This window comes from Homo sapiens, chromosome 4, assembly GCF_000001405.40.
Source record: "Homo sapiens chromosome 4, GRCh38.p14 Primary Assembly".
Lineage (NCBI taxonomy): Eukaryota > Metazoa > Chordata > Mammalia > Primates > Hominidae > Homo > Homo sapiens.
The window spans coordinates 39537690-39562252 of NC_000004.12; the positions used below are offsets into that span (position 1 = coordinate 39537690).

The 24563-nt window shown below is 41.2% G+C and overlaps 1 protein-coding gene and 1 long non-coding RNA gene across 8 annotated transcripts in view; one reads left to right on the forward strand and one right to left on the reverse strand.

The window, feature by feature from the left end:
* UGDH-AS1 (UGDH antisense RNA 1) overlaps positions 1 to 24563 on the forward strand; it is a 66869-nt gene that overhangs the window by 9851 nt on the left and 32455 nt on the right. The gene's annotated exons all lie outside the window — the stretch shown is intronic.
* Positions 8647 to 24563, reverse strand: part of SMIM14 (small integral membrane protein 14) — a 92530-nt gene continuing 76613 nt past the window's right edge. For all 7 annotated transcript variants that reach the window (NM_174921.3, XM_047449746.1, NM_001317896.2 and 4 more), the window contains 2 exons: positions 18739 to 18881; positions 8647 to 14469 (listed from right to left, as the gene is read on the reverse strand). In NM_174921.3, coding sequence (NP_777581.1) covers positions 14437 to 14469; positions 18739 to 18881 — 176 coding nt within the window. In that variant the 3' untranslated portion in view covers positions 8647 to 14436. The remainder of the gene's footprint in view (positions 14470 to 18738; positions 18882 to 24563) is intronic.

Consider the following 24563-nt stretch of genomic DNA (forward strand, 5'->3'; position numbering starts at 1 on the left):
AGAGTGCTGGGATTACAGGCATGAGCCACCATGGGCCCACAAAGCTATTTTACTTAGCATTTTTTTTCCCGAGGCTAAATTGGGAACTACTGACAATACTATTGACAATACTAAATATATTTTTAAATTATTTTACTTATTTTTGAGACAGGGTCTCACTGTGTCACCCACGCTGTAGTGCAGTGAACCATCACCACTCACTGCAGTCTCACCCTTCCTGAACTCAGGTGATCCTCCCACCTCAGCCTCCTGAGTAGCTGGGACTACAGGCATGCACCACCATGCCTGGCTAATTTTTAAAATTTTTTGTAGAGATGGAGTTTCGCCATGTTGCCCAGGCTGGTCTCAAACTTCTGGGTTCAAGTGATGCAAGTGTCTCAGCCTCCTAAAGTGCTAGGATTACAGGCGTAAGCCACTATGCCCAGCCTTTTATTTTATTTTATTTTATTTATTTATTTTTTGAGACAGAGTCTTGTTCTGTTGCCCAGGCTAGAGTGCAGTGGTGCAATCTCAGCTCACTGCAACCTCTGCCTCCCAGGTTCAAGCGATTATCATGTCTCAGCCTCCCTAGTAGCTGGGATTACAAGTGTGCACCACACGCGGCTAATTTTTGTATTTTTTGTAGAGGCAGAGAGGCAGGGTTTTATTATGTTGGCCAAGCTGGTCTTGAACTCCTGGCCTCAAGTGATCTGCTCACCCCGGCCTCCCAAAGTGCTGAGATTACAGGTGTGAGCCACCATGCCCACCAACCTATTTTTTATTTTAAAAAATTGACAGCATACTAAATGTTTGTAATGCAAATGATAAAATTGCTACAATGAAAACAAGAAGTTGAGAATTAGATGAAGAGTTGATTAAGGGAACTATGAGTCACTGTGTTAGAGCATGTATATTATGAAAATTATAGCAGAAGTGATAAAGGGTGACAATTGTTACCTATCTTCAATCAAAAGCTCTTTGAATATCTTTCTTTTTTTTAATTTTATGAATTTTTTTTACAGAGACAGGGTCTCACTATATTGCCCAGGTTGGTCTCGAACTCCTGGGCTCAAGGGATCCTCTTGCCTTGGCCTCACAAAGTACCTGGATTACAGGCATGAGCCACAGTGCCTGGCCCTCTTTGAATATCTTTAATGCTTTTAGAGATTAGCATCAGAGAATTATTAATACTAGAGGGCACAAGGAATTAGCCATTGCCAGTGGACACCTACATAGGTGTGACTATGTGACTCAGTTTTAAAAATGTGACACAATGAAAAAATTCCTTGGATGTTATGGAGGACGAAAATTTTGTAAGTCCTATCCATTCTTTAATGGAGAAACTAAAATTTACAATATTACTTTATTTAGCCCAAGATTTTCTTAAGCTTTGTATTTTCTAATTCAGCTTTGGCTTACAGAATCATGCTTGAAGTTTGAGACTGCCAGCTTTCAACAGGCAGTTACTAGTGAAACTCTTTGGAAAGATGAGAAGATGTTGACATAAGTGTAATGTGAGACAAAGCAAAGTAAAATGTAATTTTTAAGAAAATGTTGCCGGGTGTGATGGTGGCTCATGTTGCTGTTGGTTGCTATGGGAGTGAACGAAGGGGGACGAATGCAGAAATGAAGACAAAGACAAAAAGAGTATTTTTGGAAGAAGGGGTCAGGGGACTCCTTGCTTCTAGTGGGCAAGGGCCCTGAGCTTCTACAGCCCTTCATATTTATTAGGTAGAAAGAGCAGGGAGGGAGAGGTAACAGTTGGTCAGCTGCTTGATTTATCACAGGTACACATAATTGCTTCCTTTGTACAACAGGCTTCAGATGTTACTATAGATAATCACAAGGAACACTGCGCTTGGGGCATGACTGCCCTCAGCAACCCTTCTGGCGGCAGACACAGTTGTTAGTTTTCCAACATCCTGCTTTCATGAGAACAGTTTTCTGTTTGCTCATATAGCCTTCAGTGGTATACTGAGTTGGTCACGACCTTCATTCTTTCGGCCTGTAACATCTCCCCATTTTTGTTTTTGCATTAATTGAATAAAGGTAATTGCAGGTTGTGCAGCTCTCAATTGCCGTTTGGTGGTCCAGCTGATTTTGCAGACTGTTAACAAAAAACAAAAATATAATAACATTAATCCCATAGTTACAAAAAAGACATTGAGATGCTATTTGAAGTAGGTCCCAGGGTTAAGGCTGTCTAAACCTTGCTGGAATTCTGCCCAAGCTTTTAAAGAGGGCTGAAACGCTTGAGTCTGCTTATTCAAGTTAAGGATTTTACTTTGTAAATCATTAATATCAAAAGTAACATTGAATGTGAAAGCTCCCTGTAAATGGGCTTTTACAAGGCTCAATGGATATTCACTTTGGTTATATACCAAATTGGTCACACAAATATGAGTATGATTAAAATGACAACGCATTGCTGCTGCAACTGCAAACTTTGTACTTGTTCCCCTAGCCATAGAACAGTAGTCTTTAACATTGCCACCTCTGTTTGTATTTCGGTGTTAATTTTATTTTGAAGCATCCATGCCTGGTCGACTGTGCATGTCCAGTTTTCCACATATTGAGCTGTTTGAATGGAGCTGTGCGTTGCTGCTGAGGACAACACAACAGAGGTTATTAATGTAACTAAGGAGACTATAACAAAAATTATCATGCCTAAGGCTCTATGAGCACGATGAGTAAGCGGAGTAAAAAGGAGTTTCATAAGATGTAAAGCGGGGGTGGCTGCCCAAGGCTAAGATAAATTTACAGGAATTCATAATCCAGGAACATGACCTAGAATTGTTAGGGTGGATATGTCATGTGTTTGTATTGTGCTATGATTAAGGCAATGATACAGTTGACAGGAATCACAAGTCAATTGGGCATCATCTACCTGGAGGTGGGTTTTTTTTGCTGCTAAGAAAATATAAGGATTAAAAACAAATTGTAAATTGAGTGGTAATATTTTCTACAAGGGTAACATTAAAACTGTGTTTAGCACAATTACTATTATTGGATAGTGTCCCAATCCAAATGCTGCCATTCATAAATGGGAGTGCTGCTTTCCATATTGACTCCTGAATTGGACCTCTCTTTCCTTGATAATGCCATTGAGGCAAAGGTGAGCTAAAGCATGTGCTGTGTCAAGCAATTTGGGCAGCAGATTGAGATTGAATTGCAATGTGATGTAGTGGGAGATGTTAAAGTTTTGCCACCAGTTCCAGCAAAGTTAATGCCATGAGGTCTGATGCTCATGTCTCCCAACCAAATGACCATGGGGACCCCAGTAAATAATGTCTCCCATTAGCATGGACTGTTGTCTAGCTAGGGAGCTAAGACACGGGGTCCAAGGAGGGGGGTTAGAATTATCAAAGGGAGCCCATTCTATATAATTAATACAATTTGGGTGATGGGGCCGGGAGTGATTAGTAACTACACCAGTAATATTAGTAGAACTAAGGCCCAATAGGTACGTAAATTTTCCATGGTAACTCAACCATGCCTGGGATTGAATTGCAAGGCAACTGCAGTTGAGCAGTGTATCCTGGGTGATGCATAAAGAAAGGCCCTCCAATGGAGTGGTATAATTGATACCATTGTTCTGAGAGTCTAATTGCTCTGTGTCAGGGGGAGTTAAGGGTCCCGGTGCCCATGCTCCTTGATCATGATATATCTCAGGAGGAGTGTCACCCCGGTCATACTACCGGGGGGTTAGGAACATAAGCCCAATATGTTTTTGCCTCTGCACAGGGAAAACATAGCACACAGGATATCATAGCTAGCATGGCCATAAACATGGAGTCAGGGGTTTTTGCCTGACCCTGATGCTCCAGCAGTTTCTCATCTTCTTGTGTGGTTTTCTTGATCTGTAAAACACAAGCATACCCTCATCCCCATGTCAGTAAATCTACCAGGCCTTTCCATTGTCCTTCTTCCAGGGATTTCCATAATACTTTTGGGTAAACTTTCCTTTTTCCCTCTAACATTTGCCAGTGTCATTCTACCGGAGTCTTATTATCTGTACCAGGAGTTAAAAAATTTAAAGTAAATAATGCTAAATGTAGTATTGTTTGAGGTGGTAACTGGTCTCCTATACCTCCTTTTTGTTTTTTCAGCGCATGTTGTAATGTTTGATGTGCCTGCTCTATAATTCCTTGTCCTCGAGGGTTATAAGGAATTCTTGTTTTGTGAGTGACTGCCTATAACTGTAAACAATTTTGAAAAGCATGACTAACTTAAGCAGGTCCATTGTCAGTTTTTAATTGTTTAGGGACCCTCATATCGGCAAATGACAACAGACAATGTCATTGGACATGGCCAGCTGTTTCACCTGTTTGACATGTAGCATGCAGCATATGAGAATAAGTGTCTATAGTCATATGAACATAGCTAAGTTTGTCAAAGGCTGCTATATGTGTAACATCAATTTGCCAGATTTCATTTGGAGCTAAGCCTCGTGGGTTACATCCTTCTACCGGTATAACACCAGGGACATGCTGACAAGTGGGGCAGGCTTGCACAATAGCTCGAGCCTGGCTTCGAGGCAGATGAAACATACAAGTAAGGGCAGAGGTGTTTTGATGCAGTAATGCATGAGAGGCTTCAGCTTGCTGAAACACAGAACCAATCAATTTATCTGCTCTATCATTACCTAGAGGTAGTGGTCCAGGAAGTTGTGTGTCAGAGCGAATATGAGAAATTTGAAAAGGAGCAGCATGAGAGCAAACAGCTCGCTGAAGTCTTAGAAACAAGTTAAACAGCTCTGGTTCTAGGGTGCTTTTAATAGTAGCAGTCTCAATGCGACTGGCTACATTTACAACATAGGCTAAATCACAGACAATATTAATAGGAGAGGAAGCAGTGAGCTGTAAAACCTGAATAACTGCCATTAATTCTGAGCATTGAGCTGAAACACCAGGGATTTTTATTGTTTTAATATGCTTAGGTCCATAAATAGATGCTCAGACTTTGGAAGAGCCGTCAGTGAAATAAGTCTGGCCACCTGGAATAGGCTTGTGATGAGTAATCACAGGGAGGATAAAAGGGTAAACTTTATAAAATTGCAAAACTTTGTCTGATGGATAATGATTATCTATTATTCCTTTGCTTCAGCCAACATCGTAGAGCGATGAAGCTCAGTTCCCACATCCTGACAAGCTTTGATAAAATTTCCTAAGCTTTTTATACATCTCACAGATGCCAATGCATGTTTACAGTCCGTGTTTGCATTCTCAAAAGCTAGTTAAGGTTAGCATTTCTGTAGCCATGGTAAGAGAAATCTGACACTTCACTGCCTATGGTAATCTTGCAAGAAAATGTGCATAGAGCTCCTGTGACCCTTTCATGATATGTAAGAGATTGTACTGGGACCCTTTCCTCTGGAATTGTGGCCCAGGTGCGTTTAACAGCCAAGGCACACTGCTTACAAGCAGCGTCTGGGAGTGCTATTTGATGTTCTAGGTCTGAATAGGGGCCACTGCCTAACAGCATCCTCTGTAATGTCTCTGTGTCCAGCAGCACGATTCTATCTAGCCTGGTCTGCACACAGTTCTTGCCAATTTAAATACCATATCAGGTATGCACTAGCAGACAAACAAGTGCAAGCCAAATGCTTTACATCAAAGGGTGGAAGGCGCATAGCGCCAAATAGATTCTAGCAGTCCTAAAGTAAATGGGCTTTGTATTCCATTATTAACTACACTAGCTTTTAATTCCTTCAGCAACTTAAATTCTAGTGGGGTGTGTTCATGAATAAACTGCTGTGGATTATGTGGATCAGGCCTTACGGAAATAGGAAAAGCTCAAGGTCCTAAGGGTTCTCCAGCCATAGCAGTAGAGTGTAAAGTTCTTTGTATTGGGGTCTCTATTTCTGCTACTGAAGGAGGCGGTTCAGATGTTTCTGCTACTAGAGGGGGTGACACAGGCCAATTTTCATCCTCCTGCTCCTGTTTATTATTTTTAATTGGCGCTGTTGAGAGAACAGAAAGATTCTTTCAAATTTTTTGACTCTGAACATGACTCCTGCTGTCTAGCAGAATAAGAAATGAATAATGGCAGGATGAACTAAACTCCAAATATAAAAAAGAAAATAGCCAAATTCTTCCCCCATGTTACCCTGATTCAGAAACTTCCCGTTCCCAGTACCTCTTTAGGGCACTGACCTTATATTAGCTGTCAGCAGACTCGTCGCAGGGTTTCTCATTCTCGTTCTTCTTGTCAGTGTCAGTTTCTCTGCTCCAGCAGACCTTCACTCACGTCCCTGTCCTAGGTGCCAGTTGTCGCTGTTGGTTGTTATGGGAGTGAACGAAGGGGGATGAATGCAGAAACGAAGACAAAGACAAAAAGTATTTTTGGAAGAAGGGGTCAGGGGGCTCCTTCTAGTGAGCAAGGGCCCTGAGCTTCTACAGCCCTTCGTATTTATTAGGTAGAAAGAGCAGGGAGGGAGAGGTAGCAGTTGGTCAGTTGCTTGATTTATCACAGGTATACATAATTGCTTTCTTTGTACAACAGGCTTCAGATGTTCCTATAGATAATCACAAGGAACACTGTGCTTGGGGTGTGACTGCCCTCAGCAACCCTTCTGGCAGCAGACACAGTTGTTAGTTTTCCAACATCCTGCTTTCATGAGAACAGTTTTCTATTTGCTCATATAGCCTCCAGTGGTATACTGAGTTGGTCACGACCCTCATTCTTTCGGCCTGTAACAGGCTCATGCCTGTAATGCCAGCACTTTTGGAGGCCGAGGCAAGAGGATAGCTTGAGCTCAGGAGTTGGAGACCAGCCTGGGCAACACGGTGAAACCCCATCTCTGCAAAAATTAGCCTGGTGTGGTGGGGTGCGCCTGTAGTCTCAGCTGCTTGTGGGGCTGAGGCGGGAGAATAGCTTGAGCTCCAGGGGTCGAGGCTGCAGTGAGCCATAATGGTGCTGCTGCATTCCAGCCTGGGTGACAAAGTGAGACTATCTCAAAAAAAAAAACGGCTGTTAGATAAAAATGAAGACAAACAACATTTGCAAGGATATAAATCTTAACCCATTTATTGGGGGTATAGGCTCTGGTGTCAGATTTCCATCTGTCCTGTATTTTGTAACCACAAAATTGTCCTGGCTGGATTAATTGTAAGGAAGTCCCTTTAAACACATCTAGACTTCCAAAGTTTGTTTACATACTAATTAGTTGTCATGAAAAGCTGCATTCAACCCAGGGTCTGAGATGCCTTTTGTATATGAAAAGTGCTTCTCTTTCTGACACTGACTGAATTACATACATAACAGATTCATTTATTTAAAAACAATTTAAGAGGCTTTTTCTATAATGCTGAACCTGCTGTGTGGTATTTATGTTTAATTCTGGTCAAATTTTCAAAACTAATAAACACTGCAATTCAAAACCATTAATTATCAAGCATAGACCAAGTATCTGAGGTTATGAGCACATATTTAAGAGGTTAGACTCTGGCATTCCAGACATTGCAAATAATACTTTTCTCATTTCTAAATTTCCTAGAAACAAGTGGAGATTTGTAAAAGGAAATAATACTCTTTAAAACATTTATTTTTGACTCAGGATCTGGCTCTGTTGCCCTAGCTAGAGTGCAGTGGTGCCATCATCACAGCTCACACAATAGCCTGGAACTACTGGGCTCAAACCATCCTCCCACCTCAGCCTCCCAAGTAGCTGGGACTGCAGATGCAGGCCATCATGTCCCGCTAAGTTTTATTTTATTTTTGTAGAGACAGAGTCTATGTTGCTCAGGCTGGTCCTGAACTCCCGGCATCAAGTGATCCTCCCACCTCCCAATAAAACATGTACTGATGGCCAGGCACTTGGCTCACGCCTGTAATCCCAGCACTTTGGGAGGCCGAGGCGGGCAGATCATGAGGTCAAGAGATCAAGACCATTCTGGCCAACATGGTGAAACCCTGTCTCTACTAAAAATACAAAAATTAGCCAGGTGTGGTGGCACGCGCCGGTAGTCTCAGCTACTCCGGAGGCCGAGGCAGGATAATTGCTTGAACCCCAGAGGCGGAGGTTGCAGTGAGCCGAGATCGTGCCACTGCACTCCAGCCTGGCGACAGAGCAAGACTCTGTCTCAAAAAAAAAAAAAAAACCAAAAACCAAAAAATCAAAACCAAAACCATGTATTGATATCAAAGTTTTTTTATCCTGGCAGGGCACAGTGGCTCACGCCTGTAATCCCAGCACTTTGGGAGGCTGAGGCAGGTGGATCACGAGGTCAGGAGTTCAAGACCAGCCTGGCCAAGATGGTGAAGACCCGTCTCTACTAAAAATACAAAAATTAGCCAGGCGCAGTGGCAGGCGCCTGTAATCCCAGCTACTCGGGAGGCTGAGGCAGGAGAATCGTTTGAAACCAGGAGGGTAGAGGTTGCAGTGAGCCAAGATTGTGCCACTGTACTCCAGCCTGGGTGACAGAGTGATACTATGTCTCAAAAAAAAAAAAAAAAAAAAAAGAAAAAGAAAAAAGAAAGAAAGTTGCTTTATCTTTAAAACTATATATATTGTTTTCACCCCTACATAGTCCTTGCCTCCCAGACATCTCCTCACTAACGTCAGTAGACAATTTGGCATCTGATGGTTTGAAATAGTTTCTGTAATCAAATCCTGAATAAAATCCATTTTAAAGCCTATAGAGAGTTAAGAAACAAGTATAAAAATTTGTTGAAGTGTTTATTGAACGAACATAATACATTTGTCTGAGAAGAGATACGCACACTAAAGTCCCCTACAAGCAACTAATGGGAAAAGATCACACAGGTAACTCCAATTTTTAAAAATATGATCATGAAAGATAATTGTAGTTGGTGTTTATGGAGCATCTTTTGGAGGGGGGGGAACCCCCAACAACTCTACAAATTGAGATCCAGAACAGAGAAAGTCATCAGGTGAAATGCCAAGACCAAAAAACTTATTTTATTTGAATTCCATTTTCTGAGAAGAAAACTAGTATTGCAGCAGAGTCATTTAATGAAAACTTAACAGTTTCACTGAGGATTCAGATATCCGTTGACATGTACATGACAATCTTTAGATTAAATCATAAAAAGTTGACTGTCTCCAAGAAATTGTTATTTCACAAATTTATCTATTTTAAATATAACACTGAAGTTATTACATAAACACTGACGTCAAAATCATGCCAGAGCAGTGTTACTATTTTTACATGTATATGAGTATTCATGACCTTTAATGTCTGGACACATTCTAGGTCACAGAACAGAAGCAAATTTTCACTTTTGTGTGTTTTTGGTACAGTGACATGTCTGGTTCCTTTTGAGCTAGATATATCTGCTTAAATAATTAACACTATTGGATATTAGTCCCTCAAAGTAAATGTCTATTTTACCTGGTATTCTAGGAAGAGAGAGAGAAAGAAAATAACCAAAGAAATGTGACTGCAATCTAATTTCCAAGAGAGAAACTCTACTTCTGAATACTGGCCCCATACTGCATATTTTATGAATATTTTTCTCACAACTTTTCTTAAAACTTAAGTTCTCTCTTAGGAATGTCTTTAGTTAGGTCTTACAAAGAAACTGTTTAATACACAATGTTAACATCTACTAGGCAAAAGATGCTTGCTTCTCTTCCCACAAAAGCCAAACAGAAAACACAAAGTGTTACTAACGTTTTCTATTTATTCATTAATAAAAAGTGCATAGTACAAGCCCTTTATCCCAATCCAAGTACTCAGAAAAAGATTAACAACAGACCCTGGATGGCACAGACATAATTTGTTTGGCGTGATTTAAACATATAAAATCAGTAATTAACATTTAGCATATCACACGACCACTTTTGCTTTTAACAAACTAATCTTCACACATGGTAACAAATACCTATGATTTTTCATTTAGAAATATTATAAGAAGACTAAACTTACTATTGCAACAACAAAAATTTAACCCATTAAACTAGAAACTCTCTTCATTTTTCCTTCTTCAAATTACTGTTTTGTGTCTTAAACTGAGTTGGTCAAATTTGAGCACATAATTCATGTAGAGTGACAGACTTTCATTTAGAGTGATAGACTTCCAAGGTTCCTTTGAAAATTTAAGATACTGGTAATTCCATAAACACTCCCACACCACATACCACAAAAACACTAAAAGTAGCCATAGAATAGCTGTATTCAATAATTATTTTGGAAAATCCACATTATGAAATATGACTTGCTGACCATGGAACAGTGCTTGGATAGATAACATGAAAAAAATGAAAAACATCTTTTTTTTTTTTTTTTTGAGACGGAGTTTCACTCTTGTTGCCCAGGCTGGAGTGCAATGGCGTGATCTTGGCTCACTGCAACCTCCACCTCCCAGGTTCAAGTGATTCTCCTGCCTCAGCTTCCCAAGTAGCTGGGATTACAGGCATGTGCCACCACACCAGGCTACTTTTGTATTTTTAGTGGAGATGGAGTTTTTCCATGTTGGCCAGGCTGGTCTCGAACTCCTGACCTCAGGTGATCCAGCTCCCTCGGTCTCCCAAAGTGTTGGGATTACAGGCATGAGCCACCGTGCCCAGCCTGAAAAAAATCTTTTACTAGAAACAGTTCCAATGTTAACTTTTCCCACATGGAAAGCAAAACAAAACAAAACAAAACAAACAAACAAATGCAACAAAACAACCTCCCACTATTATTGTGCATAAAAACACATTAAATGACTCTAAAACAAAATAAACTTTTTTTTTTTTGGTAGAGACAGGGTCTTGCTATGTTGCCCAGGCTAGTCTCAAACTCCTGGGCTCAAGCAGTTCTTGCCTCAGCCTCCCAAATTGCTGGGATTACAGGCATGAGCCACCATGACTGGCCTAAAACAAAATAAATTCTTAATGGCATTTGTGGAATGTGTTTAAGAGCCAAAACTGTGAAAATGTAAGCTTTATCTTTCTTTTTTCCTAGATTATTTAAAGAGGATTGTAGCCACACTTCAGATGAATGTTTACAAGCCAAATAATGATTTAAGAGTGTGCTCAATAAAAAGGCCATAGGTTTAAGAATTAAATGGAATAATATAAATTACTAGGTCAACAAGAATATTTCATGTATAGTACACTGTCTAAGGAATGCAGAGAAATTTTACAAGAAACCCAAGACTAAATACTTCATTAAGAACACTGGTTACTAAGTAAATAGATGGCTCATGTAGGAAAAAGCTAATATATGTAGATGTAATGTCAACTAAGTGCATGTGACAGAAATGAAGAACTAGGAATAAGAATCCAGATTTTCTGGCCAGGCACGGTGGCTCACATCTGTAATCCTAGCACTTTGGGAGGCCATAGTGGGTGGATCACCTGAGGTCAGGAGTTTGAGACCAGCCTGGCCTACATGGCGAAACCCCATCTCTACTAAAGATACAAAAATTAGCTGGGCGTGGTGGTGGGCACTTATAATCCCAGCTACTCAGGAGGCTGAGGAAGGAGAATCGCTCGAACCTGGGGGTGGATGTTGCAGTGAGCCAAGGTCGCGCCACTTCACTCCAGCTTGGGCGAAAGAGCAAAACTCCATCTCAAAACAACAACCAAAAAGAATCCAGATTTTTAGGTGTCTAATACTAGACATTCTGTATCCAAGTTTCAGCCATTTCATCCAATAAAGCCTTCTAAAGCCTTTTTTTTTTGAGACAGGGTCTCACTCTGTCACTCAAGCTGGAGTGCAGTGGCGTGATCTTGGCTTACTGCAACCTGTCTCCCAGGCTCAAGCGATTCTCCTGCCTCAGCCTCCCGAGTAGCTAAGACTACAGGCCGTGTCACCAAACCCGGCTAATTTTTTGTAGGCACGGGGTTTCACCGTCTTGGCCAGGCTGGTCTCAACCTCCTGACCTCAAGTGATCCACCTGCCCCAGCCTCCCAAAGTGCTGGGATTACAGGCATGAGTCACTGCGCCCAGCTCCCAAAGCCAATTTTCAATTATTTGTGAGCCATAGATTCAGTGACTACATCAATATCTCTTGCCAGGGATTGGCCTAACAGCTCAGAGAACAGATTGTTAGGATATATGGGCAAGCCTTCTAAGTTCAAGAGGCAAGAGCAGAAAATGGAATGCTATAGGGATTTAGCTCCATCTTAAGCCATTCTGGCCCTTTCTGCTCTACTTTACCAGCTATAGAGTTAGGAAGGCTTCCAGTAGGCCACAGCAAGAGGAAAAACCTTTATTCTGTGGGGCTCATTTATCCAGGATTTAACTTACCTGTGTCATGTTACCGATCTATTAACACAAGTAATTTAGAGTTGGTTATATTATTTCAAGAAATTGAGCACAAAGCCAGGATGTACAAGGAGGAATTCAAACAATCAATATTGGATTATATAATGAAAAGATGCCCTTACAATGTTTATGATCTAGAATGTAATCATAATAAAGGGGGGAAAATACCTTATGAGTATCACAATTGTATCAGAGACTATTAAACAGTACAATGATACAGAGAATTTATTCAATTCATACAAGTAATTTACCAGATCTAAACAGTGAATAGACTGACCTAAGGGGAAAAAAATCCTTACATTGATAGCAAAATATCTTCTAGCCCCCATAAATAATCTGCAATCATTTGCTAGGAAAAAAACTTCATAACCATATGGGTCATGCAGACATTTTTATTTATTTATTTATTTTGAGACAGAGTCTCGCTCTGTCGCCCTGATTGGAGTGCAGTGGCACGATCTCAGCTTACTGCAACCTCCGTCTCCCAGGTTCAAGCAATTTCCTGCCTCAGCTTCCCCAGTAGCTGGGATTATAGGCACACACCACCATGCCTGGCTAATTTTTGCATTTTTAGTAGAGATAAGGTTTCACCATGTTGGTCAGGCTGGTCTCGAACTCCTGACCTCAGGTGATTCGCCTGCCTCGGCCTCCCAAAGTGCTGGGATTACAGGCGTGAGCCACCGTGCCCAGCCCATGCAGACATTTTTAAGTGCTATTGGTATTCACTTTATTTCAAACTGAGCAAAACAATACAACCTTTTACTTTTTTATACATTTTAAAATTTCTCTCATATTAACATTCCTTCCTACCCCAATCCATCCCATCACCAAACAGGAATGAGATAAGGAGTGAAAAAAAGATGTATGTTTCTCATTTTCCTTCTTTTCCCTTGAAGTAAACCAGTAATTTATTAAAATATTTTATAGGTCAGAGGATAACAAAAGACTCAATGTAGTAAATAAGTAAATAGGCATTCAAATATCAGTAACCTAACAGGCCCTAATACAGCTTTAAGATTTTCTTCTTTTTTTTTTTTTGAGAGGGAGTCTCGCTCTATTGCTTAGGCTGGAATGCAGTGGTGCGATCTTGGTTCACTGCAACCTCCACCTCCCGGGTTCAAGCAATTCTCCTGCTTTGGCCTCCTGAGTAGCTGGGATTACAGGCACATGCACCAACCCTGGCTAATTTTTCTGTATTTTTAGTAGAGACAGGGTTTCACCATGTTGGCCAGGCTGGTCTCGAACTCCTGACCTCAAGTGATCCACCCACCTCAGCCTCCCAAAGTGCTGGGATTACAGGTGTGAGCCACTGCACTGGCCTAAGATTTTCATTTTAACAGGGAACTGTTAGAACAGAAAAGAAGCTTCCCAAGAGGCACTCATTTTAAAAATAAATTATAGCTTAAATTATTACTATGTGGATTATATCAGCAAAGGCAGAAAGAATTAATGTTTTCCTCCTTTCATGAACCTTGTAAGGCTAGTGTTGAGTGGCTTACAAATGTCATATAATGGACTGTAAATCATCTGCCATATTGATCAATCATGTTTATTTAAGGTTTTCTTAACATTAGAGATTTTTAATGGGAGTATAAAATTAGTAAACAACCATTTCATTTTTTCTCTCTTCCTATTCTAGCCACATAAGCCAGTTTAATCCATGACACAGATTTCAGCTGTAATTTGCAAAACAATCCAAGAGCTACCACAGTCCCCAAAACTACAGAAAACTGCCATCCACAAATAAACTACCAAGGTAAATGTAAATACAGCGTGGTTCTAATTTTCTTTCACACAATCCCAGACAACCCCAAATAACTTTATAAATACCTTATGAAAAAAAGCAATTTAAAAACCTATCAAATCTATTTAAAATATATAAATGCAGACCTCTCAAATTTCCTTCAATCAGGCCAGAAATTATCACAAAAATTATAATCACAGTTACAAACAGAATGAGTGGAATGTTTGTAAGTTTAGGACAACCAAAAAAGCCCCATGTAACTTTTTAAAAATATAATCATTCACTCAAATATACTGTAAATAGGAATGGCAGTAACACAGGAAGCAAAAATAAACTTGCAAGTGAAATTTCTAGAAGCTCATGAAAACAATACCATCCCATATTGCAGATACAAAAGGAAAAACAGTTCTAATGGGGTTAAGAGTACTCTGGTCATCTTCGTTCGTTTGGTCGTGCAAGGTGTTAACTATTTTCACTTCCCATATCACAAAGTTAGTCCACAGGAGGAGCTGGTGGATCTTGTCCCTGGCATTAGAAAGAAATAAATTATTTAATTGACTTTTTAAAAATTCAAAAAAATTTAAAATTTATTACTTTTTTAAAAATTGACTTATTAAATCCCAGTGCAACCAATCTAACACATAGAGAAACAACTGAGCAGCAATGCCCCCAACCATCCCATCCCAAATATATGCTTATTTGGACTTTTCATATGTTTTTACATGAGGGAACACTAGATTAAATAACACTGTGATTTTCCACCATTTGTCTCATTTTTCCCTGTAGAATGGAAGAGAGAGGGAATTTGTACAACAGTGATGTTATCACTCCTGCCAACCCCAGGAGTGATCTTCAAACCTATGAAAATATCTTCATCCCTCTTGCTAAAGTCGATTGGCTAAGCAAAGTACTGTATATTTAAAATGAAGCTAGGGACTTTTGTTTCTCAATACTGAATGTCTACGAGGATGCATGTGGCTGCAGTTGCTTCTGGTAGTCATCCTATAACCCTAAGGGGAGCCCATCTTGGAATGAAGTTGTTAGTATGAGGAAAGAAACTAGGTCTTTGATGACACTGTTGAAACTTTCTTAACACTGACCCTACCTCTGAATTTTTTTGACGTGTAAATCAATGAAGCCACTTGTTTTAAACCACTTGGAATTGACTTTTGTTAACTTGCAATAGAAAGCAAGTGAACTGTAAAGGAAAGATCAGAGTTTTTAAGATTCTCAAGATTTTATTTATTTACCCTGAAATGATACATGACGCCCGAGTTGGGGGTGATCAATATTTCTCCTTGGAATTAGTCTCAACACATTTTCTTACTTATTCCTAAGATAGTGGAACTACTATTCCTAGAAACACTGGCCTACAATGAATTAAGGTCCAGGAGAGGGTAATCTTGCATTTCTGTCATTTTAATAGTTTTTTTTTTTTTTTCCTTGAGACAGAGTCTCACTCTGTCGCCCAGGCTGGAGTACAGTGGTGAGATCTCGGCTCACTGCAAACTCCGCCTCCCGGGTTCAAGTGATTCGCCTGCCTCAGCCTCCCGAGTAGCTGGGATTACAAGCATGTGCCACCACACCTGGTTAATTTTTTTGTATTTTTAGTAGAGACAGGGTTTCACCATGTTGGTCAAGCTGGTCTCCAACTCCTGACCTCAAATGATCCACCTGCCTCAGCCTCCCAAAGTGCTGGGATTACAGGTGTAAGCCACCGTGCCCAGCCCACTGTAATGATTTCTAAGTCAGGTTATTAAGAGTTCTATTTCTTTAGCTCCAAACATTGAGGAATTTACTCTTTGATATGAAAGTAACAAAGCTATACAAAGAAAGTAAGAAAGAAGGCTAAGGAATAAACACTTTATCAAGACAATATGCAAGCTGTTTTATAAATACTCTCTTCTCCAAGAAAAAATAAAAATAAATGTAAGGCTTTTTATATAGTGCTAATAATGCCGGTTTTTTTTTTTTTTTGAGATGGAGTCTCGCTCTTGTTGCCCAGGCTGGAGTGCAATGGCGCCATCTCAGCTCACTGCAACCTCCACCTTCTGGGTTCAAGCAATTCTCCTGCCTCAGCCTCACAAGTAGCTGGGATTACAGGCACGCGCCACCATGCCTGGCTAATTTTTGTACTTTTAATAGAGACGGAGTTTGGTTATGTTGGCTAGGCTGGTCTTGAACTCCTGACCTCAGGTGATCCGCCCGCCTCAGCCTCCCAAAGTGCTGGGATTACAGGTGAGAGCCACCGCGCCTGGTCTATAATGCCTTCTTTCTTAAAGTTAGCATGCTACGTATCTTTTTTGTGTATGTTTTTCGTTTTGATTTTTTTTCTTTCTATGCTACATATCTAAATGTTCTATTCCTTAAAAAACAAAGCAAAACATTGACCAATTAACACTGCACATTTGCTTTCTCTTATATAAAAAATGAGTCTAACTGAACTTCTGATATCAACACCACAACACTGGAGAAAAGAAACAATTATTTTAGGAATTCCACAAGGTAAAGGTTGGAAAAGAGAATTAGTGGGATAATTTGGTATACAAGTGAATCTGGCCGGGCATGGTGGCTCATGCCTGTAATACCAGCACTTTGGGAGGCAAATGCAGGCACAGCACCTGAGGTTAGGAGTTCAAGACCAGCCTGGCCAACGTGGCGAAACCCTGTATCTACTAAAAATACAAAAATTAGCCAGGTGTGGTGACACACATCTGTAATGCCAGTACTTCGGGAGGCCGAGGCAGGCACATCACTTGAGGTCAGGAATTTGAGACCAGCCTGGCCAACATGGTGAAACCCCATCTCTACTAAAAATCCAAAAATTAGCCAGATGTGGTGGCGTGCACCTGTAATCCCAGCTACTCGGTAGGTGGAGGCAGGAGAATCACTTGAACCTGGGAGGCAGAGGCTGCAGTGAGCTGAGATTGTACCAATGCACTTCAGCCTGGAGGACAGAGTGAGACTCCATCTCAAAAAAAAAAACAACAAAAACAAGCAAATCTATCATGGAAATTTTCCTTTTTTTTTTTTTTTTTTTTTGATGCTCTATTACCTTATAGTTTTTTAATTATAAATTTTAACATTTATTTAAATTGACAAATAAAAATTGTATATATTTGTCATATACAACATGTTTTGAAATATGTATACATTTGTAGAATGGCTAAATAGAGGTAACTGGCAAATTCATGGAATTTTTTTTTTTTTTTTTTTTTTGAGACGAAGTTTCACTCTCACCGCCTAGCCTGGAGTGCAATGGCACGATCTTGGCTCACTGCAACCTCCATCTCCTGGGTTCAAGCAATTCTCTTGCCTCAGCCTCCCGAGTAGCTGGGATTACAGGTGCCCACCACCAGGCCCAGCTAATTTTTGTATTTTTACTAGAGACAGGGTTTCACCATGTTGGCCAGGCTGGTCTCGAACTCCTGACCTCAGGTGATCCGCCCATCTTGGCCTCCCAAAGTGCTGGAATTACAGGCATGAGCCACCGCGCCCGGCCTCATGGAAATATTTTTAAAGAGATAATATTCAAATTCAGTGTTAAAAAAAAAACATAAATACTGGTTCTGAAAAGGATTAAAAGGAATCCTTTAACAGAGGTTCTTTTTTTTTTTGAGACATAGTCTCACTCTGTAGCCCAAGCTGGAGTGTGGTGGTGTGATCTTGGCTCACTGCAACCTCTGCCTCCTGAGCTCAAACGATTCTCATGCCTCGGCCTCCTGAGTAGCTGAGACTACAGGCGCATGCCACCATGTCTGGCTAATTTTTTGTATTTTAGTAGAGACAGGGTTTCACCATGTTGCCCAGGGTGGTCTTGAACACCGGAGCTCAGGTGATCCGCCCCCCTTGGCCTCCCAAAGTGCTGGGATTGCAGGCGTGAGCCACAGTGCCTGGCCAACAGAGGTTCTCTTAAAGATAGTCCTGAAAACTCCCTATTGGGTCACTTTATCATAGTTTTAATTTAGAAGGTTCTAAAAATGGTTGTAATCATGACTATCAAGATTTATCAACATGAATGATTCCGACCTCTCCTTTTGCCAGCTCAGCTGATTTACTGTGGTACAGAAATGGAAAATGGGTTTGAGAGAAATAGGATGGGAAAATGAGGAAAATAAAATAAGACAGGCTCAGTGTCTCTACTGAATAGCTAGGACAGAAGGGGGTCAAACATTTCAACTAAAGCTACTAAGAGTTTAGGGGCTGGAAGCATGAGAGGCAAGGGATCAACTGTGAGGTGGACAGAACTGGGTAGTGGAGGATTGAGACTTGAGCAATATTGCTGTGGATTATGAAATGGATTATTTTTGATGCTTCTCATGTGAGTAAAGATTAGAATTCAAGCCTGGGCAACCTGGCAAAACCCCATCTCTACAAAAAAATACAAAAAACTAGCCAGGTGTGCTAGTGCATGCCTGTGGTCCCAACTACTTGGGAGGCTGAGGTGGGAGCCTAGGAGGTGGAGGCTTCAGTGAGCTAAGATCGCACCAGTGCAGTCCAGCCTGGGCGGCACAGCAAGACCCTGTCTGAAAAAAAAAAAAAAGGATTGGAATTCATTTTCAAATTAATTTTGGGCTTCTGGTCTGTGCTTCTTTCTGCATTTAACTCCATAAAGATTAAGCTGTCAATTAAATCTTGGAATTGCAATATTTAATAGAACTACATAGGTAGAATACTCTATGAGTTAAATATAATTTAACTAATTTAGGTGTTTTAGTCAAAACCAAGTCCTTCCCTGCCCCAGGCCACATACATTCCCTTACCCAAAAAGCATTTAAAATCTGCAACACTTACATTATGAGGACTGGTTGGCTTTCCAGGTAGGCTGGATCCTCTTAGATTAGGAGGTCTCAGTAAGAACAAGATCAATGCAATAACCATCCAGGCTACCAAGATCATTGTAACACTGATGCCATTATCACCAGAGGGTCCCGGTACTAAAGACAAACAAAAAATGTAGCATGCTCACAATATTGTTAAAAGTAAAAACAAATTCTAATGTTTAAATGTCAGTTTCAATTACTGTATTAATATAAAAATTGTATTGATAAATTACAAAAGTACATATTATATCTTCAATTTCCCTTTCCCCCAGTGAGAACATCTAAAAAGTAAATGATGTTAAATAGTCATAAACCAAAACTTAGTAAGTTTTTGTTGTTTTTGTTTTTTGAGACAGGGTCTTGCTCTATCAAACAGGCTGGAGTGCGGTGGCACAACCATAGCTCACTACAGCCTTAACCTTCTATGTTCATGGGATCCTCTCACCTCAGCCTCCTGAGTAGCTGGGACTACAGGTGTGTGCCACCATGCCCCATGCACCTAATTTTTAATTTTTATTTTTAGTAGAGACACTATGTTGCCTGGGCTGGTCTCTAACAATTTTTTTTTTTTTTTTTGAGATGGAGTCTCACTCTGTTGCCAAGGCCAGAGTGCAGTGGGACAATGTTGGCTCACTGCAACCTCTGCCTCCCAAGTTCAAGCAATTCTGCCTCAGCCTCCTGAGTAGCTGGGATTACAGGCATGCGCCACCATGCCCAGCTAATTTTTGTATTTCTAGTTGAGACGGGGTTTCACCATGTTGGCCAGGCTGGTCTCGAACTCCTGACCTCAGGTGATCCACCTGCCTTGGCCTCCCAAAGGGCTGGGATTACAGGTGTGAGCCACTGTGTCCTGCCCCACACCCCTAATTTTTTTTAAAATTTTTAGTAGTGACGACGTCTCACTATGTTGCCTGGACTAGTCTCTAACACATTTTTTAATAGTATAATAATTCTTAATATTTTGGGGTAACAGAATCATTTGAGAATTTGATAAAAATTAAGAACTCTTTCCATTTTAAGAATTCATGGGGTCTTCAACTGAGGTCTTGCAAGGCAAGCCGGCCATGCCATGTTTGTAGATTAATGAGGCTAGGGGCCCTAACTTCCCTAAGATCTACTTTTCTAGCTACCTTCTGCCCTGTGTCTGGCACCTACATCCTTCATGATTGTTCTTTTTGATCCATTCTGGATTAAAAATAAATATGAAAAGCACTCATGTATACCAAATTCCACAATTTTGTATATAATTGTGGAAGGTTTAAGAACCCACAAAGCCACGAATCCATATGAATCCAAGTTAAGACCACAGAAAAAACACTCTCCTTTGGGGGGAAAAATCTGCTTCTTAATTACAGAGGCATCATGAAAAAGAAAGGGGACATCTGGGCTGCGTAATATATACATTAAAAGACCCCTTGAATTACAGTCTCAACCAAAGAGATTAATTTGACCTTCTTTTTCACACAAAGGAGTTGAATTCAGATCTAGATATTTTAAAATTTTATCAATTTTTCTCTTCTATCAATTTTTTCTATTTATCAAGAGAAAAATGCTAGACAGGGATGTATGTGCGTATACAGGCATCAGTTTTTCCTGGTTCCTTGACATAGCCACGTCTTATTTAATTTGAAATAACAAGTGCCTAGCACAGTGCCTGACCCATGATATGAGGTTAACAAATTTCTAATAAATGAAACGTAGATTTTTTATTGAAGTATATTAGAGAACTCAATTTTCAGAAATAAAAATGGCCAGGTGCACTGGCTCACGCCTGTAATCCCAGCACTTTGGAAGGCCAAGATGGGTGGATTGCTTGAGCTCAGGAATTCGAGACCAGCCTGGGCGATATGGTGAAACCCCATCTCTGAGGGAGAAGAAAAGGAAAAATCCATTAGGTAAACAGTTAAGGCTGGGCCCCTAGAAGTGCTTGCCTGAAAAATCACAGCTGCTGCAGCTGCACAGATAAGCCTGGACAGATAAGCAGCCAGTAAAGCAAACAAGCCTTTTTGTTCTTTGTACAATCAGTGAGCTCCCAGGAAAAAGTTTCCTCCCCTTTTCAGGCATATACACAGTGGGCTCCGTGGGAACTTGCATAGGGCGGAGTGGGCTTACCTAAAAAAACCCAGTTATACAAAGAAGAGAAGCTGTGCTTTGTGCTTAGAAACAATCCCACAGCTGGAAAAAGGGAGTTGCACAGACAGCTTTTCGAAAAAGAAAAATTACTCAATCAGTTACAAGGAGGAGAGCAGTTTCTTTTTTTTGTTTGTTTTTTTGAGACAGAGTCTTGCCCTGTCGTCCAAGCTGGAATACAATGGCATGTCAGCTCACTGCAACCTCCACCTCCCGGGTTCAAGCAATTCTCCTGTCTCAGTCTCCCCTGTAGCTGGGATTACAGGCACATGCCACCATGCCTGGCTAACTTTTTGTATCTTTAGTAGAGATGGGGTTTCACCATGTTGGCCAGGCTGGTCTCAAACTCCTGACCTCGTGATCTGCCTGCTTCGGCCTCCCAAAGTGCTGGGATTACAGGCATGAGCCACCGCGCCTGGCTGCAGTTTCTTATAAAAGCATTTTGCATTCAGCTGTAACCAAGCTATCCACTTGGACTCCCCTCTCTGCAGAGAGCTTTCTCCTTTTGCTTATTACATTTTCGCTCCAACTTCACCCTTGTGACCATGCTCCTTAATCATTTTAGAGGCGAGACAAAGAACTCAGGGTGATACCTCACAAGAGAAACCAATATATGAAGGTGCATTGGTGAGACTGCAACATCTCTACGAAAATTAGCTGGGTGGGGTGGCGTGAGCCTGTAGTCCCAGCTACCCAGGAGGCTGAGGCACGAGAATTGCTTGAACCCAGAAGGCAGAGGTTGTAGTGAGCTCAGATTACACCACTGCACTCCAGCCTGGGCGAGTGAGCAAGACCCTGTCAAAAAAAAAAAAGAAAAGAAAGGAAAAGAAAAAGAAATAAAAATTATAGATTAGATTTCTAGAGGAAAATGTAGTATCCCTAGGTGATTACTAAAACAGCTTGTCAAGACCACAGCTGTTTGGTTTTGATCTCCTTGCCTCAGGAAAAAGTAAAAGAAATCCAGATAAGATGTTGAAACTAATCTGATACACTGCATTGGGTCAGTGGGTCCAGGGCTCAATTCCACAAAAGGGAAGGAATTGGTGGCACTGCTGAGGCCAAAAGGCTAGTGATAAAAGCGGACAAAGTCAAGTTAAGAGTTGCGCTGGCCCTGCTGCAACGAAGTCTTATGGCAAACAAATTAGTACAAAATATATATTAAAAAGAGCTGAGCTGGCCTAAGAGCAGGATGGATAGGAATGTAGCCTCTGTTCCAAACCCAGTCACTTCCCTAGAAACAGCTAAACAGGCCGGGCGTGGCAGCTCATGTCTGTAATCCCAGCACTTTGAGAGGCCAAGGCGGGCAGATCCCTTGAACTCAGGAGTTTGAGACCAGCCTGGGCAACATGACAAAAACCCGTATCTACAAAAAATTAAAAAAAAAAAATAGCCGGGTGTGGTGGTGTGTGCCTGCGGTCCCAGCTACTCAGGAGGCTGAGGTGGGAGGATGGCTTGAGCCCAGGAGGTGGAGGTTGCAGTGAGCTGTAATTGCACCACTGCACTCCAGCCTGGGCAACAGAGCCAGACACTGTCTCAAAACATAAACAAAAACAAAAACAAACACTTTCTTCCATTGTCTTCTGTGTCACTACCATTGTCTAACAGTTGGACACTCCTTCATCAATAATTCTCTTTTTCTTTATATCAACAGTTCTTTTCTTTTCTTTTTTTTTTTTTTTTGAGATGGAATCTCGTTCTGTCACCAGGCTGGAGTGCAGTGGCGCGATCTCCGCTCACTACAACCTCTGCCTCCTGGGTTTTATTTGTAGTAGAGCTGGGATTTCACCATGTTGGCCAGGCTGTTCTCAAACTCCTGACCTCAGGTGATCCATCTGCCTTGGCCTCCGAAAATGCTGGGATTACAGGCATGAGCCACCGCAATCAGCCAACATCAATAGTTCTTAAACTATGGTATATATCAGAGTCAACTGAAAACTTCTTAAAAATGCAGAAATCCAGGAAGCACGAGGTCAAGAGATCACCCGTGAAGCAGAGGTTGCAGTGAGCTGAGATCGCGCCACTGCACTCCAGCCTGGCGACAGAGCAAGACCCCGTCTCAAACAAAACAAAACAAAATGCAGAAATCCCACCTTCCACTTAACATATTCAGTACTTTAGTATTCCAAACAAAAATCATGAGCATCTCCCCCGCCCTACCCCCTTCCACCCCAACTACCAAACTGGATCTCTGTTCATCCAGTTGCCCAGGGCAGAACCTAAGAAAACACCTTTTTTCTTTCTCAACAGCCCTGTATTTAATCCATCATGAAGTTTCTTGCAATTTTTCCTCCTAAATATCACTTGTATCTGCCCACTTTTAGCTCCATGTCCCCACCTGCTCAAGCTACCATAACCTCTTATCTGGTCTATTGCAGTGGCCTCTTAAGGGATCTCCCTATATCTACTCCTGCTTCCCCTGTGCTCTATATTGTTTCCAGAGTGATTTTTTTTTCTTTTTTTTTAAAAGCAAATACATGTTGAGTTTCCCTGTGTGAAATGCTTGGGAATACAAGTGTTTCAGAATTCGGATTTTTTCAGATTTGGGGATATATGCAATATACTTATTGGTTCAGCAGCCCTAATCCTAAAATCCAAAATCTGAAATGTTCCAATGAGCATTTCCTTTGAGCATCATGTCAGCACTGAATAAGTTTCAGATTTTGGAGCACTTCAAATTTTCAGATTAGGGATATTCAACCTATACTATTATTTTTATTTTAAATAATAGTTAAGGCCAGACCTGATGGGGCTCATGCCTGTAATCCCAGCACTTTGGGAGGCCAAGGCAGGAAGATCCCTTGAGCTCAGGAGCTCAAGACCAGCCTGGGCAAAATGGCTGGTGCTGAACTTCTGGCCTCATGCAATCCTCCTGCCTTGGTTTCCCAAAGAGCTGAGATTACAGGTGTCAGTCAGTAGTCATGCCCAGCCATGACTTTTTAATATTCTTTGCAAGTAAAAAATTCTGAAGCTTAAGAGAGTTAAACCTCAGATTCCAAGTTTACTAATTCTTATTTCTAGACAAAGGATCCCTGATTCTTTTTTAGAATCTCACGCCGGGCACGGTGGCTCACACCTGTAGTCCCAGCACTTTGGGAAGGTAAGGCAGGTGCATCACCTGAGGTCTGGAATTCAACACCAGCCTGGCCAACATGGTGTTGGCCATCTCTACCAAAGCCCATCTCTACTAAAAATACAAAAATTAGCCAAGCATGGTGGTGCACACCTGTAATCCCAGCTACTTGGGGGGTTGTAGCGGAAAAATTGCTCGAACCCGGAAGACAGGTCGCAGTGAGCCGAGATCGTGCCACTGCACTCCAGCCTGGGCAACATAGTGAGACTCCATCTCAACAACAACAACAACCAAATAGTAATGTCCACTTCTTTTTTAGAATCTCACAATAGTAATATGACTCGTAGTTCCCTTAACTATCTCCTAGCTTGGTTCCTATTGCAGCTTTTCCTTCTTGCTTACTGCTGCCAGAAAAGTCTGCTTAAAACTGTTCTTGGCTGGATACAGTGGCTCATGGCTGTGATCTCAGCACTCTAGGAGGCCGAGGCAGGAGGATCCCTGGAGCCCAGGCGTTTGAGACCAGCCTGGGCAACATAGTGAGACCCCTGTCTCTACAAAAAAAATTAAAAAATTAGCTGAGTGTGGTGGTGCAGGCC